This window comes from Homo sapiens, chromosome 20 (genome assembly GCF_000001405.40).
Source record: "Homo sapiens chromosome 20, GRCh38.p14 Primary Assembly".
In the NCBI taxonomy this organism is placed as follows: domain Eukaryota; kingdom Metazoa; phylum Chordata; class Mammalia; order Primates; family Hominidae; genus Homo; species Homo sapiens.
The window spans coordinates 64,303,363-64,323,778 of NC_000020.11; positions in this window are offsets into that span (position 1 = coordinate 64,303,363).

Genomic DNA, 20,416 nt, shown 5'->3' on the forward strand with positions numbered 1-20,416 from the left:
GTATAAAATATGATTTTCTAACCACTTGCTCGCCAACAAGGAAAACTTTTAAGTAGAGCAGAACCTGAATAGACAAGACATTTCTTTCTTTTGGTAGAAAATGATTTACCATCACTGTGTAGTTAATTGTAGACTAGGTAATTTTAACTGTGATTTATTGCCGGAGACATTTTCTTCTGTACTGTAAAGTGTGTGTCAAAAAAAAAAATAGCGATTTTGGAGGATTAGGGGAGTTTGATAAATTGCCTGCAATTCTGGCAGTATGAACTGCATATTAATTTCTCTCTTTCTAGAACATTTTTATTTATTAATTCCTTACAAAAACTCCCTAAACTTTGGAACAGCTCTCAATTGCCTGTATTCTTTTTTTTCTTATTATGGTACTCTTCTAGAGATTTGGCTTGCATCTATGAATAAGCCAGGACATCTTCAGAAATTGTCTGATTAAAAACACCACCAATGGAGTTTCATTAAATTTGTATTGATCTGACTAGTGAAACACACACATCTATGTTGCTGAGGATATTTTACTGCAGTTTGAGTTGTAATAATAGCTCTGTTTAAGATCCGTCAGTCACTTGAATCTTCTCTAAGGCTTTGGATGTTAGAAGTTAATTTGCTTTCTTACAAGGCCACATTCTATCTTGTAACTAAACAACTGAATTTTATGTCTTAGCGTAGATGGTTTATTACTTTCTGGTTTTTCTTTAGTAAGAATCCTATAAAAACACTAGTATTTTTCTCTGAGTTTAAAATTCAACACATGCCTACTGATATGGTTAGGCTTTGTATCCCCACCTGAATCTCATCTTGAATTGTAATCCCCATAGCCCCCATAATCCCCACAGGTCAAGGGAGAGACCAGGTGGAGGTAATTGAATCATGGGGGCAGTTTCCCCTGTGCTGTTCTTGTGATAGTGAGTTCTCACGAGATTTGATGGTTTTATAAGGGATTCTTTCCCCTTTGCTCGGCACTTCTTCATGCTGCCTTGCGAAGAAGCTGGCTTGCTTCCTCTTTGTCTTCCGCCATGATTGTAGATTTCCTGAGGCCTCCCAAGCTGTGCTGAACTGTGAGCCAATTAAACTTCTTTCCTTTATAAATTACCCAGTCTTGGGCAGTTCTTTATAGCAGTATGAAAACAGATAAATACACCTACTATGTAAAACTTAAAATACAAAAAAAAAAAACATTATCTCACTAACATAGGAGCTAATATTTTGGTGTACTTTGTTTAGTATTTTATATTAAAAATATGTACATATATATTTATATATAATTAAGAACATGTATGTACAATCGTGCATACATCATGTACATACATCTACTTAAGAAAATAGCTATGTAATATACCATTACTCAACTAGATTATAATTTTTCTCCATTTCTTTATTGTAATTTATCATTTTCTACTTTTTTGTTTTCTCATTTTTATTGCATATTTAATTATGCAAAAAATACATTAAATACATTGAAAATATATAGTGTAGCTATAAGAATAAAGAACGATGGTAAAACAAATGCTAATACCCACTACCTGACTTAAAGAATATGATACTATTTTTTTCCAATTGAAATCCCCTCAACTACTCAGAATTACTGCTATCCCTTTTATCCTTTCATTAATTTTCTTCTAGTTTTCTCACATGTGAATCTATTTCTAAATACATTTCTTTATTTTGCAAGTTTTTGGACTTCATATAAATGTAACCATATTGTATATATTCTTCTTCAGCTTCTTACTTTTTCACTAAACAATATGTTTTGCTGATACTTACATTCATATGTACAGTAATAGTTGATTTATTTTAATGGCTATATATTATTCCATTGTTAGAATACACCAGGATTTATTTTTACTTATTTTTTTTGCTGGAAAATTGGGTGTCTTTTTTATTTTTTGATATAACAAACAATGTTGTAATCATTTTGTATTTACTTCCTAGTCCACTCCTGTAAGTTTCTCTTGAGTACATACTAGCAATGAAGATGCTGAGTCACTGCATATACATACTCACAACTTTATTCTATAATGTAATATTCTATAAAGTAGCTGTATCAGTTTATACTTTAACCAGTAATGGACAAGATTTTCTGTTACTTCCCATCTTTGTTAATTATTACTTTTAGACTCTAACTTTTATCAGGCTCATGGATGTAAAAAGCATCTCAGGGTGTTTTTAATTTGCATTTATCTGCTCATCTATGAAGATGAGCTTCTTTTCATATAATTATGAGTCATTATTTTTGTTTTGCCTTCTTTTGTTTATGCATTTTGCTTGTTCTGTGTCTTATTTTTCCTGTTGATTTTTGGGAGTTCATATATATTCTAAATGTATATTCACTCATATATATGTTGCAAATATTACAGTTTATGATTTGTCACCTTATGATATCATCCAAATAGAGAAGCTTTATATTTTGATGTAGTCATATGTTCATTTTTCCTCCTTAATGTTTGTTTTTCTTGGTTCTATGACCTACCAAAAGTAACAAAAATTCTCATTTATTTTTAATCTAAATGTTTTAAGTATTTTCCTGGAATTCACCTTGAATTGATTTCTATTGGAGATAGGTATCCAATCTAATTTGCCTCATATGGATAACCACTTGTTCTATTACTGCTGTAACAAATTTCTACAAACTAAGTGACCTAAAATAACACAAACTTGTCATCTTACAGTGTACACAAGTCAGAAATCAGGCATGAATTTTAGTGAACTAAAATCAAGTTGTCGACAGGCATGTTTCTTTATGGCGGCTAGGGTAGAATCCATATCCTGGCCTTTTCTATCTTCTAGAGAACATCAGCATTCCTTTTCTCATTGCCTCTCCTCTCTCTTTTTAAAGCTGGCAATGTCACATTTCTCTGACCATTCTTTCATTGTCACATCTCTCTCTGGACTCAGCTAAGAAAGGTTCTCCATTTTTAAGAACTCATGTGATTAGACTGGGCCCATCTGGATAACCCAGGAAGATCTCTCCATCTCGGTTTGCATCCTTAATCACATCTGATAAGCCTTTATTGCATTCAGTGTAACATATTCACAGGTTCCAGGGTTAGGCATGGGCATCTTTGCGGGCCATTATTCTCCCTACCACATTATTTGCCTAGCATCTTTCATTACATTGTCCATCTATTTACTTACTGATTTCTAATGACATCCAAATCAGTTACAACATTTTATGTAAGCATTGTTTTTATTTTTATGTTATTCCACTAGTCTATTTTTCTACTCATGAATTATGGTACATGAGTTTATTTTTGCAACTTTAAGCTCAATAACATGTTTTAAGATTTCCTCAACTTTCTTTTTCCACTTCTTCAGAAGTTGACTCTTTTGGCCCTTTGGTCTTCTATACACATTTTAGAAATGCTTTGTTGAGGACTAAGAGGAATGCTAAGATTTTGATAGGAATTTCATTGAATTTTGAGTATATTGGCATGCTACAATGGTTAGTGTTTTATACATGAAAATAATATATCCCTTCCTCTTTTCCTAGTATCATGAGATGTTTGTTAGGCAGACATGAATATTGAGTTGTATCAAATGTGTTTTTCTGCATTATTGTGGTAGTGATGTGATTTAGCTCCTTTAATTAGTTAATGTAATGAATTACATTTGTAGATTGCTCTAACTATTGAAACAAGCTTGAATTTCTGGAATAAGCCCAATGTGATATTTATTCAACAAATATTCATTGAGTATACCTAGTATGTAACATGCTTTAAGAATACACCAGTGAACCAAACAGAAATATCTGACATTACAGAACTTAACATTCCAGTATTTGGAGACAGACGATAAAAAAGTGAACATGTATATTTACAGTTTGTCAAGGAATGATAAATGAAGACTCTTAAAGTAGATGGGGAATTGGGAGTGAAGTCTGTAATTTAAATAGGGTGGGCAGGAAAGCTTCACAGAGAATGGGACATTTAAGAATAGACTTGAAGGACAGGCAAGAGCAATCTCTATGTTTATATGGGAGAAAAGGTTCCAGGCAGATGCAGTAACAATGGCAAGTATCCTGAAGTAGGATCATGCTGGAGTTTTTGTGGAGCATCAAGGAGGCTAGTGTGACTGCCACAGAATCACCCAAGGGAAGATGAGAAGATCAGACCAGAACAGCACTTGGGCATCTAATGGGAAAAGTTTCTCAAGCCATCATAAAAATTTCACTTTTACTATAAATACTACGAGAAACCATGGGATGTTTTACAGTAAGAAAGGTGGCATAATATGTTACATGTTTTAAACAAACTCTATAGCTTCTGAGTTGAAATAGATTGTAGGGGCTCATGGCAGAAGCAGAGGGAACATTTAGGAGACTACTGTAAAGAATATCATGAAAAGAACAAACAACGCTATGTAACATGCTTAAATGGACTGAAGAAGATGTATAAAATCAAAATGATGTTACCTTCACACCTTGAATCAGTATGATAAACCCCCCTCCCCAATCACAAAAGAAAAACTAAACACAAAAACCAGGCTTTGGTTGCTCAGACAATTTTACAGGTGAGTTCTAGCAAACATGCAAAGAACGTTTAATTGCACTGTTACAGAAATTCTTCTGGAGACAAGAAAATACGACACATCACCCAACCAATTTCATAATAACAATGTCAATGTATAATAACAGAAAAAGTGGATCTCCGAAGAAATAAATTTATTTGGAAATAAACAAGTTTTATAATCTGAGATATTTGTGCTATGATCAATCATAGGTGCATCCCAAGAGGTTGAGGTAAGGAAAATATGTAAAGACAAAAAGAAGTCTATGCAAGCTGTTTTGAAACAAACATCATTGGTCACAGGGTCTGATGCAGGAGCTGGTGTTAACTTACTGGCAGAAACAGCCATTGCTAGGCAAGTGTTCTTGTGAGGGTGGCTTATCTGAAATGCTGCAGTCTTGAGGAATTTTTTATGATAGGTCCTATTATAGAGACACCTACAGGATGAGCTGGACAAACAGAGTGTGCTGGGTGGGCAGAAATTTCTTGTGAGTTTATAGAAAGTCCTTGTGATAGTGCTTATCGTGGACACACACACAAGATCCCCTTTTTCATGACCCGGCTCCACTTTGCTTTGGGTCTGATGTAAGTGACTTTGCCTTGTCATTGGCAACTTTCACTGTAGTATAATCTGCACATTAAAGTTACCTAACAATAGTACAAAGAAAGAAAATTAAAGGTATATCTCTTTCAAAAATATAAACCCCAAAATTGTTAGGAAATTGTAGTGAGTATAAAAGATAATTCATTATAATAGACATCTCAAGCTTCACAGAATTCTGACCTTTGCTACACTCTCATCCACAATCTTTTCTCCTAGTAAATGGCAGCTCCTTCTGTTAAGTTGCTGAGGCTTCTTATTGCTTTTTTCTTCAAATAACAGTCAGAACTGAACAACTGTAATCATCCTAGTCCATACAATTGTTATATTTTCATTTAAAGAAGATCAATGTGTGGTTCTTTTTTATATATTTCTGGACAATTCTTTATATTTTAATAGTCAGAATTTGATCAGGAAAACAGAAGACATCCTATGTATTATAATGATAAAAGTTTAATATTAATTAGGGCCTTATGCTATTATTGGAAGAGCTTGGTGAATAGATATTAGAAAAGCAGCTAGACAAAATCAGAAGAGGTCTGTTTTATATCAGAGATCTTAGCCTGAGAGTCTAGAGTGTGGGCACAGAACCCAAGCTTATAGGAATTTCTGAAAGGTCTGTAAATCTTATCCAGATGGACAGTGGGAGCTCATAAAGAATTCTGCAAGCCATCACATCTGTCAAACCTGCTATGTCTAATCCTTAAGCCTGCTTTATGTGAAGACCTCCTCTTCACTCCTCACTTCCAGCTCTCATGAGTTTCTTTCATAGGCAAACCCAAACCTGGAACAATGTGCCTGAAGACTTCGGGTGACACAGTACCCAGACTTAAATAGGAGGGGAGCCATGGTGGAAGTGGCCATCCAGCACAGTTTTCTTGGTCTTTACTCATAGTTTTGATTCCTTAAAAAAATTAACCACATTAAAATATGTGTTTCATAATCTACATCTAATAATAAAAATATTTAAAGTCTTTTCAAGTGTGAATATGCTACCCATGTTGCTGCTACCCCCATTTTGTGTGTGTGATTTTTGTGTGTGTGTTAGAAGCTCATGACCTTTGAAACCTACTCTTATGAGCTTGCTTTGATGATTTATTTGTCCAGAGAGGATTTTTTTTTCCTACCTAGCATTTTGGACTGCTATCAACCTGAGACCACTTTGAATTAAATTCTCAGCTTGCAAATTTGGAAGCCACACAGATTGTATGAGTTCAGGCTGAAACCTGTTTGAGAGCTGGATTCTGGCTATAAACTCCACAGGGAACATTTTCTCTCTCCACTCAGAGCTGAGACCATAGGGAAATTTATTTGCTAGCTCTCTTTGAAGGTTTATTTTATTTATTTTTTTAATTTCTAGTACACGTGCTCACTGAAGGTGTAATACTTATGTGAGAATCTCAAAATCAGTTGTGTTCTTTGTATGACCCTGGTTTTGTTTCCTCCTGCTCTCTTACTTTCAGTGTGTCTCATTATGTCTGCTCAATATGTCATCTTAAATTTCAACTGAGGGTGGATCTTCTTCCCAGCTCACTCACATGGTTCTTATCTAGATTCAGTTTCTCTCCATTTGTAGGACTGAGGACCTCAGTTCTTCACTTAGGGTTGGCTACAGGTAATCATCAATTTCTTGTAACAGGACTTACACTGGGCCACTGACAGCATGCCAGTTGGCTTCATTCAAATGAGAGGGCAAGAGAAAGAGAGAGAGGGAGAGGGCACAAGATGAAATTCACAGTATCTTATAATCTAATCTCAAAAGTGGCATCTCATTACTTTTGTTCTATTCTATTCAATAGAAACAAGTACCTGGGACCAGCTTATACTATAGGAAAGAAATTATATAAGGGTATAAATACCAAGAGGTAGAGATCATCAAGAGCCATTCTGGTAGCAGCCACAATATCTTATCCAGAATATTTCTTATTCAGGCCTTCAAATGTGCTGTCTTTTCTGGTCTAATGGAAATGAACCTTCCTTCCATACAATTTCTTCTCCTAAACTGTACTCTGGCTCTCTTATCACATACAAACGTCTATGTTAGGTATTTGTGTCTGTCTTGATTCTTGGTAGGCTTTTAAACTCTGTGAATGTTGGACTGTGATGTAGACATCATTTCACCACACACTCTGTAACCACCAAACCTTAGCAGCTTATTCAGTAAGCACATACTTGGCTCTTAATGAGTATTGCTTAAATTGATGAATTGAATTAGTATTTTACCTTCTCTGTTGCTTAGCTAAGCAGAAGAATTTGTCATTTTTTTAATTTAGTGACTGGTTCTATTAAAAGTTACCTTTGTCTATATCATTTTGTTATACTAAAGCACAAATGTATAAGGTCAAAAAACATTCTCAAGATTTTGTTTAAACCACAGCCCTCAGTTGTGTATATTTATCTCTTGTTTTCATATGCAAGATTTCTCCTGAAATGGGCAACAATTTCAAGAGTTTTTTTCCTCTTCTGAACTAAGAAAATAAATATTTAATTCACAAGTTTAGAAAAGTGAACCTGAAAAATCACAGGGCTAGGTGGGTTATGAGGCCCACTGGTACATGATAGTGTTGAATGTGGATTAGAATGAACTCCGTGGATTAGAATCTCAGACCATAGGCAAACATTTACTTGTTTTAGAATAAGCACATTTGAGTCTGCAATAAGTATTACTATTTTTAAGTTGAAAATGTAATTGGTTTCTAATAATAACCATATTGGCTAGCATTATTTCAATCGTGTTTAATGTTTTCCAATGTCATTTCATGTCAGATATCTCTCTTGATTCTTAGTAACAATTTGGACAAGACAGCAAATGCTATTGTCCAAGTTTTCTAAAGAAGAATCTGAAGTGAAATGACATCAAGAGACCTATCAAGACCTGTATCCAGGAAAAGGTAAATCTGAGCTGAAACTGTAGCCCTTGTAAATTACCTACGTGACATACCAGATAGTGTTCATGATCCATTTAGTACTCTGTTCTAAAAACGAGACAATATCCATTTATTCACTTGTTCATTTATTTAGTGTTTGTTCAGCCCTTACTGCATATTCCAGGCACTATTCTGACTGTGGCAGGAGTGAACAAACAGGCATGGTTCTTACTTGCATGTAATTACAGTCTTATAGTGAAAACAAGTGTTAAACAACAAAATCTCCCAATTATTTTAAAATTATAAACTTGATTCGATACTATGTGGCCATATAATTGTTCCTAATTTGGTTGGAGAAGGGAGGCAGTTAGGGAAGCCTTCCCTGAGTTAGTGCCATTTAACCTGATTTATGATAGATGATAAGTAATTTGTCAGGGGAAAAATACTCCAGGAATAAAGAACAGGTACAAAGGTCAGGTTCTGGGAAGAGCTTGTCTTGGTCCAGGAACTAAAAAATGTTAGAGTGGCTGGATCTGGGAAAGAGACAAAGAGTTATTAAATGAGGCAGCAGGCTTCAGCAGGTGCCACATTGCTCAGGGCCTTGTAGGCCATGCTAAGTATTTGGGATGTTAATGTCAGTACAAACAATTGAGTCATAAGCAGAAAGTAAAAGCATGATTCCATCAAATGTTATTCTCTAAACAGTCATTTTATAAATACAGGTTAAATGTGTGTGGTTCCAGCTACTCAGGAGGTCCCAGCTACTCAGTATTCCTTTTCAACAAATATTAGGTGCCTACTATTAGCCAGGTACAGCCCTTAGCTACTTTGAATGAAGCATATATTACAAACTGGCAGAATTTCTTAAACAAAGAATCTAAAGTTGTTTATACACCATAATCTCGGTATTTTATAAATTTCTTGAAATTATTTTTATTTACACTGCTTTGCAGAATTTTAACTGGCTTTGAAATAAACAATGACAATAGTCCTCCATGTTACTAGTTTCAAATTTTCCCAATACCTACTAAGACATTACTTAATCCACAGATTTACTGTCAATAGTTTGTATCAAATTGTGATAACATATTTGAAATTAATATTTCAAATTAAAGCAAAATCACAAATTTATACTTTATATTATGAATGAGATTCACAAAAGGAGCATGATAATATATTCTGTTGTCATCGCATACAAAATAATAACATATAGAGTATGAATCAATAATTTTTCAAATACAAAGCTATTACAATTAGGAATACAAAGAAATCATAATTAGGAATACTTCTACAATATTAACACACAATAGTGGTAACACTTGCAAAATGATGGTGGTGTTTTTTTGTTTTTCTTTTTTGTTTTGTTTTTTTTCCCGACAGAGTCTTGCTCTTGTTGCCCAGGCTGGAGTGCAATGGCGTGATTTTGGCTCACTGTAAACTCCACCTCCTGGGTTCAAGCGATTCTCCTGCCTCAGCCTCCCTAGTAGCTGGTATTACAGGTGCCTGCCACCACACCCAGCTAATTTTTGTATTTTTAGTAGAGATGGGGGTTTCACCATGTTGGCCAGCCTGGTCCCGAACTCCTGACCTTAGGTGATCCACCAGCATCGGCCTCCCAAAGTGCTGGGATTACAGGTGTGAGCCACTGCGTCCAGCCAGTGGTGGGTCTCATATCTCAATGTGGGCTTTTACTAACTCCCGATGCCTCAGTTTCCTCATCAGTTGAAAGGAATGAATGAAAGATATGTGTTTTTCATATTACCAGGTAGATGATAAGGAGATTTTAATTTTCTTTTTTTTTTTAACTTTTATTTTAAGTTTAGGGGCATTTGTTACATAGGTAAACTGGTGTCACAGGGGGTTATTGTACAGATTATTTCATCACCCAGGTATTAAACCTAGTACCCAATAGTTATCTTTTCTGCTTCTCTTCCTTTTCTCACCCTCCACCCTCAAGTAGACCCCAGTGTCTGTTTTATTCTTTGTGTTCATTAGTTCTCATCATTTAGCTCCCACTCATAACTGAGAGTATGCTGTATTTGGTTTTCTGTTCCTGCATTAGTTTGCTAAGGATAATAGAAGGTCCATCCATATTCCAGCAAAAGACATGATATCATTTTTTAATGGCGACATAGTATTCCATGGTGTATATGTACCACATTTTCTTTATCCAATCTGTCATTGATGGGCATTTAGGTTGATCCTATACTTTTGCTATTGTGAACAGTGCTGCAATGAACATTTGTATGCATGTGTCTTTATGGTAGAATGGTTTATATTCATCTGGGTATATACCCAGTAGTGGGATTACTGGGTCGAATGGTAGCTCTGCTTTTAGCTCTTTGAGGAATCACTATTCTTTGTACAATGATTGAACTGATTTGCACACCCACCAACAGTGTATAAGCATTCCCTTTTCTCCATAGCCTCACTAGCATCTGTTATTTTTTGACTTTTTAATGATAGCTATTCTGACTGGTGTGAGATGGTATCTCATTATGGTTTTGATTTGCATTTCTCTAATGATCAGTGATGTTGAACTTTTTTTTTGTATGTTTGTTGGCTGCATGCATGTATTCTTTTGAAAAGTGTCTGTTCATTCCCTTTGCCCAATTTTAATGGGGTTGATTGTTTTTCTTTTGTAAATTTCTTTACATTCGAAATGTTTTATTATTAAGTTGAGCTGCCTCATTCTTAGTATGGTTTTTCACTTTAAAAAGCATAAAGGTGGACATGGTGGCATATGCTAGTAATCCCAACTACTGGGGAGACTAATACAGGAGGGTTGCTTGAGCCCAGGAGTTCAAGGCTATAATGTGCTATGATCATGACTGTGAACAACCACTGTACTGCAGCCTGGGCAGAGTGACATAGTGAAACCATCTCTCTAAAAAAAGAGAAAATGTAATTTAAATCTTTAAATACATATGTATATGTGTGTATATATGTATATATGGTGCATATATCAAAAATAGTTTGTAGTTTCCATTCACAGCACATAGTAAAATGTCTTAACCTCCTCCCTCCTCCCTATGTGTGTTTTTCTAAGTGTGTGTCTTTTTTACCTTAATTTTTCTCTTAGTGTCTCATACTCTTCTTAGGTCTCCCTCTTTCTTCTGTCTTTCACACACACACACACACACGCATACACACATGTACCTTGAAAAATAGCTTTTCTTTTTCTTAAAACTTCCCAAAGCTTTCATAAAATTAGCCCTCAGGCACTCTTACGTATCTCATCCACTCTTCTTCCTCTCTCCCCTTCCTGAAGCCATTTGTAACTTAGTCTATTACACTAGGAAGGGGAAGCAAATATTCATATTATTTTCTTGTTATATCCTTAGCATTACTAGACCTTTGTGGTTTCTATGGATGAGGGACATAATATTTATTAATTTATTCTAAACTTCAGTCACTCATAATATACCCTTTTATTCCTCCTTCTTCTGTGATATTGGGAGTGTATAGTTGTCATTGTGACAAACCCTTTGCTGTCAGTATCTATAGTGGATGGGGAGAAAAGGAGGGCTTTGCCAATCATCGTCTCCAGTGCATTTCCCACTGTCAGCGTCATTGTCTAATGCTGTTTGCATCCACACAGCCTAAGGGAACCGTTTAAGTGAGTGACTCCCTCCCTTCACTTCAGCCCATCACTTGAGCATTTCTCTCCCTTGAAAAAAGACAAGTGGTGCTTCTAAGACTTGAGTAATTCTGAATATAATTGAGGACTAGATGTTCCTGTTTTATATCCTACAGGGCTGGCATCTCTAATGCTGAAAGTACAACAAAGTGCAGTGGTAGTCACTGAGTGTTCAGCCATGCTGGGTCATCAAAATAAAAGGAGATCGTCTTCCCATTCCTATCAATGGCCTCATCTCTACCAGATATATAACTGGAAAAACAATGCATTTGCTTAGACATCCACAGTGAGCCACACTTGTTCGGTGTTGTGGGGAAATGATGCAGAAGCATCCTTGTTTATTAAGGATCCAATTTTGATAGGCTGAGGCATATTTTTCCTCCCAAGTCTGCACATGGTCATGTATTAAATATTAATGAGCATCTTCTCTCTATCAGGCTTTGGGGGATATGTTCACCTCTTGGGAGGTGAACATGATAAATAAGATCCTTTCTCTCATGGAGCATTCTCTCCATTCTTTTTTTTTTTTTGATAGGGACTAGCTCTGTCACCTAGGCTAGAGTGCAATGGTGCAAACATGACTCACTGCAGCCTTGACCTCATGGACTCAAGTGATCCTCAAGTGATCCTCTTGCCTCCACAACATCCAGCTAACTTTTAAAAAATTTTTTGAAGAGAAGGTTTTGCCATGTTGCCTCAGCCTCCTGAAGTGGTGGGATTACAGGTGGCAAGGGAAGGGAAGGATGGCTATCTGCCTTCAAATATTTGAAAGGGTGTGAAATCAAACAGGGAAGGAGTCCTGTTCAGAGCCCCTTAGAAGATGCCGGGGTCAGGGTGGGGGGTGGTGAGGCCTCTCACCTTCAAAGAGCACCTTCTGCCACTGGAAGGGTCCCAAAGTGACAGCAACCACCCCGCGTCGAGCCCTCACTGCGTGCCAGGCACTCGGCTTGCCTGACGCTTTACTGGCATCACCCCTGAATTTTCCCAGCAATCCCAGGAGGGTGGTACCATTCGTATTCCTTATTTTACGAACGGGAAACGCGAGGCTCTCACTGCTTGAGATCACACAGCTAGTGAACGACTGAGTCGAGATTCAAACCCAGGGCCCTGCTGAGAACTATTATGCTGCACCGTAGGCTGAGGAGACCTACAGCCCTGGGAATTCTAAGACTGTGATGCGATAAAACACAAATATAAACATGGGAAGGCCAAGATAAGGCTGGGAGTTTTAAATTTATTTTTTTTTTGCTGAGGTGTCTTGGGTACAAGGAAGACAGGAAAGGTGGATGCTGAGTAGAATTTGTACCTCGGTGTCACCGTCCTCATCCCCGACCCCTCCTAGCCGCCCCCGCCTCAATGTCCCCTTCTTCTCCAAGGGAATCTACTCGCACCATCACACTAGCCCCGGCTGCGGCCCGTGGAGGCCGAGGAGGGCCGCGCACCCAGCACCCAGCACCCAGCACCCAGCACCCGGCCCGAAGGCCCCGCTGCTCCCCGGGCTGGCGGCGGCAGGAGCGGCATCGCGGAAGCCCCTTCCGAGCCCCCTCGGGCCGGGAACGCGGGAGGAGGCGGCGCCCTGCGCCGGGAGGCCCCAGACACCGTGGGCGGGCGGCTGTGCGCGGCCAGGCTGCGTGGGAGCGGGCAGCGGCGGCGGGGGGCGCTCCGCGCGGGGGTTGGGGCGCGGGGGTTGGGGAGGCGGGGGCGCCCGGGCCGCGCTTCCCTTCGCGGGTGACTCAGCAGCCGCCTTCCTCAGCGGGGCGGGGCGCGGCGGGGGCGCGGGGAGGCTGTGGGCACGCGGCTTCCCCGCGCCGGGGTGCAGGTCCTCGCCGCCGCCCCCGCGAGGAAGTGCGAGGCTGGACGCTGGGAGGCGCGCGTGGGCCGGGAGATTCCTTCTCGCCTGCCGGCTACCAGCCGGCCCGCCCACGCCGCCGAGATCCCGACTCCACGTTCCCTCCCCACGGAGGAGTCGGGGCAGCGCACGGAGGCGGAAAGGCTTTCCCCAGGCTGGCCCGGCGAGGGTCGGGGGCGCAGGGACTGAGGGGACACCCCAGGGGGGCCAGCTGCACCCCCGCCCTCCCCTCCTGCTGCTCCCGGGTTTTACGCACTCACGGTCGGAGGGAGCCGGCTGGAGATTTCTGGGGTCTTAGATGTGGAAGTCCGTGCAGAATTTACCTCGTTCTGCCCCAGGGCCCCCGGGTACCTGCCACCTTTTGTTCTTGAAAGGGAGAGATGCCCCTCTGCTGAGCCAGCTGGAGCGTCCTTTCTGTGGCTCTTGCCGTGTAGAAGTCTTTTTTCGTATCTAAGCTCGGTCCCTCCTGCTGCGGTGACCCCCAGACAGCTCTGCTTCGCCAGACTCGGCGACTGGGTAGAGTGGGCAAGAAGGAGGACCAAGAACGTCCCCACTGAGCAGGAGGGGAAATCAAGGCCCAGAGAAGGGGAGGGGTTTCCTTCAAGCTTATAGCTGGGGGTGTGTGAGAGAGGTGCTGACCTCAGTACTCAGGAGTTCCGGCTTCTAGGTCAGAGTCCAGCTGCTTGAAAAGATAATATTCCTCCCTGGTGCTGCCCAGCGCAGTGCCTCTACCTGTCTCTGGAAATCCCTTTCACCTTCTCTGATGGGTTCTTACCATGCGTTAAGTCGCATCAAGACTGTCGGAGATGCCAGATGATGCCGGTTCGGAAGCATCCAGGGTAAAGACCGGGCTGTGCGCGGGAAACACGGAGGCTGGACCCAAGCAGGAAATTCCCACCCGCTTTGCGGAGTTTTTGTAGTGCTGTTTTTAAATCATCATTGGTTGATTTGATGCATTGAATGAAAATTGTGGTAGATAGGAATCATTCATCAAGGAAGAAATTGTGGAACTCCCTTGTCTCTCTGCCTGGGATGGGGCGTGCATTCCTGATTGGAGGCAGGTGGTTGGCTGGTTTGACCTGGTGCATCCAAAGCCCTGAGAGGTCATTGGTACCAGGCCCTGGCCACAGCTAGGCCGAGATATCCTGCAGGGAAACTCACACTGCAGCTTTGTGTGTGTCTCGCCGCCCCGTACCTGAGCTTCCAGACACTATACCTCCGTAGAGTTCCAGTGGCACAGCTCCTGTACCTGTCCCCTTCCACACAGCCTTCTTCCCAGGAGCTCACGCCTCTGGGGCCTGGTCTCCCGCATGCTCCAGACAGAGTGGGTATGGAGGCGTGGTAGACTTGCCCCATTTTACAGAGGGGAAGAACCAGGAGGATCTGGCTAGCCAATGGAGATGAAACACTTCATGCAGAGAAAGGAAAAGGAACCGGGAGTGCTGATGGCGTGACCAGGCCAGGGGTCATTGGGAGATACTGAGATAAAGCTATGCTGATCTTTGCTGTGAAGCCTATGCATCTTTAGTATAGTGTGGGTTGTCCTCCAACTCCCCCAGCCCAAGTCAGTAACACACAGTTGCCCATGCAGAGTCGTGCCCACTCAGGTCCACAAACGCCTGCGCACCACCTGCTCACCCTCCCGTCACGGTATTGACACTTCCCTGAACACAGCTGATCCTGCCTGGTAAGGGGCCTGGAATCTGGGTGCTGCTGGTTCATGACCCCGGAATCCAGCTCTTTCCTCTCTTTTCCCCCAGAGATATGGCCACAATGCCAGCCTCCTTTCCCTCCTGCCTTCATAGGCCCATTGCCCGCTTCTCACTCCACCTGCTGAGGCCTTGTGTGTGTGTGTGTGTGTGTGTGATGAAACTCTCACTGCAGAGATTTTGCAGCTTCCCGGGCTGACAGACTGGTCAGAGGCTGGGGGCAGAGGGAGTAGAGGGCTCTCCCTGCTCATAGCTAGGATTGGGGTCGGTTCTGTTTATTGCCGGGGGCAGTCTTCTCCTCACCCCTCATCCGTCTCACACCCCAACCAGCCTGAAGAGCTGAGCCTCTGAGTCCAGCTTTCCGCATGGGCTCAGCTTCAGGACAGTGAGCTGTGCTGTTGGACCCAGGGGTCCTCCCTTCTGCCCAACTCTTCCTCAGCCCTGATACCACAACCCACCTCCACTCAACAATCCATGAGCCTGCCTGGGCCCTACAGATGGAGAGTTTATGTATTCAACCAGTATTTATCATGCACCTTCTAGGTGTTGAGTTTGACTCTCATCTCCCATCCCCTTCAGGCTCATGCGACACCAACCTCTGCTGCCTGCCAGCTCTTCCTGCCCACATCTTCCTGCCCCATAGCAAACCCCAACAGAGTCATGTGACATTTCACCATCCAAAAAATTATTTTAAGATCCTAGAAAGGAGCAAACAAGCTTATCACACATCATGATGCTCTTTAACTTCTTGCTTTATGTCTTCCACACATGAAGTTCGTTGGAAAAGTATCCCTTCTACAGCCCAAAGACTTACTATTCCATGACCAGTCAGTGGAAGTGCCCTGTGTCCCTCCCCTTTCCTTACCAGAGCCAAACAAGGCAATTCCAATTCTCTGCAAAATTTAGTTGAGCTAAAAATACATTTAGACTGAACTGCCTCCCTCATGAGCCCTTCAGCTCCTTAGCAGCCTCCTTCCCTGGCCTTTAGTTAACCACTGCTACCACAGTATCCTCCCTTCTTACCAAACCCTTCTCTGGGAGATTGCTCAAATAAACTCTTTCACACTAAAGTATAAAAGACTGATAAGGATAAATGTGTTGATTTTTCCCCCTTCCTAGGAGAATTTGCATTTAAACAAGGAGGATAACCTTGAAGTACCTAAAGTGGTCTCTGACTGTGGAATTATTAACATAGTTGAGATATCCTGGAAGGCACAGGGACCTCCCTGGGGTTATGGGACTAGCTGTAAGTTTGGCCTTGCACACCTGTGAAGCAGCCGTGATGGGCTCTTTTGGTCCGTCGTCACATAATGTTGAGAGCAGCGGATGAAGAGTTAAGAGAATCTGAGCTCTAAACCTAGTTCTGACACTAGCTAGTCTGGAAGCAACAGTCACTTCCTCCTCAGGCCTTAGTTTTCTCATTTGCCAAATGAGAATTTTGAACAGTTTACCTTAAAGAATCCTTCTAGCTCTGATATCTGGTTAACTCCCCAGTGGGGCTAGGAGACCCTGGCCCAGCTCCTAAAAGCCTCTAGCCCCTGAAGCTGTGGCTTAGAGGGAATGGTCTGATGCCAGCACAGAGCATGGGGCCCTTCTCTGGGCAGGGACTTGGACAGGCTGCCCCCATGACCATAGCAGCCCACCTGCCAGGGAGGAAAGGTGCCGCTCAGCACACACACCAGTCTTGAAGAGTTACATAACCCTCCCAGATCCCTTATTCCAACCAAAGAGCAACAGCAAAACAGTCTGCCCTCCACCCCCACCCCGGCACACACACACATCAGCAGTCTTTGCCTATGGTGGCCTCACAGTCACAAACACCCTGGGAGAGAATTTTAGAAGGCCACCATCTTTTCTTTTTCATTTGTTTTCATTTTCCTGGAAGATATCTCATGTAAGAAAAGTCTTTAAGAGAAGAAAACCCACAACCACACATCAGGCCTCTTAGTCCCTCCCTGCTGTTCTTTTCAGCTTTCTGACCTCAGAGTCCTGAAAAGTACAGGTCTACCTTCCATCCCTAGGAAGGAGGAACTTGGAGAAATTGATTCAGCCTCATTCTGAAGAAGTGGGAAGCACTTCCTGGGTTCAGATGCCATTTCCCTCACTCTCCACTTTTGTCCTTGACAAGTCAGTGTACCTTCTCCTAGATGAGACTGTAATTTTCCTAATTAGGAAATAGGGGTGATTGTTCTCACCATGGGGCATCGGGTGATAACTCAGATCTCTTTGATATCCTTAAGAGAAGTGCAAATAATCTTAAAATGCAACAGAAGAGGTTTTAGTTGGGCTTAAAGAAGATTTTGCCAACTAGAAATTTGTGAGACAGCATTACAGATCACAGAGGGATGGTGGATTTGTGCTGCTGGTTGCTTTTCAGGGTACGCTCAACATTCCTGTGTCTGGAATGGCTAAATGAGAATAGAGCACATGTAGAAAGGTGGCCTGGCAGTGTAGAAGAAACCCTGAGCCTGCATTCTAGTCTGTCACTGTCATCTGACAACAGGTGAACCCTTTATCTTTCTTGGGCCCTGGTTTCTTTTTCTTTTTCTTTTTCTTTTTTTTGGGGGCATGGAGTCTCACTCTGTGGCCCAGACTGGAGTGCAGTGGCGCAATCTCAGCTCACTGCAACCTCAGCCTCCTAGATTCAAGTGATTCTCCTGCCTCAGCCTCCCGAGTAGCTGGGACTACTATGGACCACCATCCCTGGCTAATTTTGTATTTTTAGTAGAGACAGGGTTTCACCATGTTGGCCAGGCTGGTCTCAAACTCCTGACCTCAGCTGATCTGCCCATCTTGGTTTCTTTATCTGTAGAAATACTGCAATGTATTGAGCACTTACTATGTACCCCAAACAGTACTAAATAAATGATATGTAATTTTTAAAACTTTACAAGTCTTTAAGGTAGATATTTTCCCCATTTTATAAGTGGAAAAACAGAGGCTAAAAGAAAGTAAACAGTGAAGGCAACGTCTCACAGCTGGGGAGGTACCAAGATTTCTCCCCAGGCGTGCTTGCCCAAAGCCCATGTTCTCAACCATCTGGATCTTGAACACTGTGTGATCCAGTGGTTACCTGAAATTCCTTTCAGCCTGAAAGATTTAGCTTTGCCCTTGCCTTACTCCTGATTCCCTTTCTTTTTTATTTATTTATTTATTTATTTATTTATTTATTTATTTATTTATTTTTTAGGCGGAGTGTCGCTCTGTCACCCAGGCTGGAGTACAGTGGCACGATCTCAGCTCACTGCAAGCTCTGCCTCCTGGGTTCACGCCATTCTCCTGCCTCAGCCTCCCGAGTACCTGGGACTACAGGCGCCCGCCACCATGAGCAGCTAATTTTTTTGCATTTTTTAGTTGAGACGGGTTTTTACCATGTTAGCTAGGATGGTCTCGATCTCCTGACCTTGTGATCTGCCCGCCTCAGCCTCCCAAAGTGCTGGGATGACAGGCGTGAGCCACCACGCCTGGCCCTGATTCCCTTTCTTTTTGTTAATGCCCTCATTGACTGAAATAAAGATGACCACCCCTTTCTTCCATGGAAATAAGCAGCCCTTTGGAGCCTCTGTGGGAACCTGCACTTTGTGCTTTTCCAGAAGCAGAGGAGCAAGTTGCTACAGTGGTCCCAGCCTTGGAAACCCTGCCAGATGGCCTCACCTCCGAGAGTCTGCTGGGTGCAGTGAGAGTGTCCCCAGGGCCTCTTACTAAGAACTCCTTACTAAGCTGCCGGCCTCACCTCTGAGAGTCTGCTGGGTGCAGTGAGAGTGTCCCCAGGGCCTCTTACTAAGAACTCCTTACTAAGCTGCCATTGCCCTGTGCCCAGGGCCACTGAGATATGCTTAGGCTCCAGTGAAAAAAAATGTTCAGGCTTCCCAACAAGGCAGCTTGTCCAAAAATCTTTACATGGGGTGTAAATTCAGCAGTTGAGTCTCTTTCCAGATTGTGAGCCCCGATGTTTGTCCCAGCCCTTCCCTCTTTTTTAATGTTACCCTCCCTTCCATTCCCTCTCCACCCAGCCCCGACCCCAGCTGCCTTTTCTCATAAGTGACCTTTGAAACTCGGGCTGCGCAGAGATTTGCTGAATCAGCAGGACCAACTGTTGTTTCCTTTGCTTCGTTTTGGGCCAGCAGGAAAATGTGCCAGGATGCCTTTGTGAGGCCCTATGGCATTCACTGCATTGGTCTGGGGAGAGATTGGGAGTGAGGGAAGAGGGAGCTGGAGGCTGGTAAGGAGGAGTGAGACAATCAGGGTTTCCCAGAGACCAGGGGATGACTTGGTTCTCTTAAATGCATTATTTTTGGATGAAAAGAAAGGAAGAGCAGTGACCTAGGCCTTCAGGAAGGCAAAGGGCAGCAAATCTTTGCAAGTGGTCACACTATGCCAGCTTCTAGGTATGAATAAAAAGATGCACACTCCCTTCTCCCAGTGAGCCTTCATCCTGGCCCCATTTCTTAGACCAGAAACTCTCTCCCTGCTGGGGATAGGGGAAGAACAAGAGGATAGGCAGATTGATGAGCATGGGCCATACGATGCCACCTCAGCAACCAGGCCTTCTGGGCACAAGGTAGACAAAGTCCCTGTGTGTTGAGACTGTCCTCACCTAGTGATAGGGTTTGGCCTCATGGGTAGGGACTTAGGATGAGCGGAGGGCTGTATCATCAGAGGCTGGAATGAAATGGACATGCAAAACAGTTATCTCCATAGATTGAATTTTCTGCTTTCTGTTCCCTTTCCAGCTATCCTTGCCTCTTACAATTCTGACATAAACCTTTGACTTCAATGAAGAAAACCTGCTCTTTGGCCGTTAACATAATTTGTATACTCACCCTTTTTACCTTGTGCTGTTCTGATAGAGGATTGCTTTAGGCAGCTGCAATATGCTTACACTTGTTTAGGCATTTCTAGATATGTGTCTCTTTTATTTTGAGCAAGGACTGTTTGCTTCTTTCCAATCTTTCCACAGCACTGAGTGCAGGGTTTTGAATAGACTGGATACTTCATACATATAGTTGACTGACAGACCTTCACACTTTCTTTCTTAATAGTTTCCAGGATGGGCCAGTCATGAGCTATCACCTTCAAGCATGCAACTCTGACTCAATAGGAGCAGAGATCCCAGTTCCCACCAGCATCTTAGACAAATCAGGCTAAAAAGCACATCCAGAACTCTTCTAGCTATCCCCAGCCTCCAGCCAGTATGAGAACAGGGAGCTCAAAAGATACTCAAGATTGATTT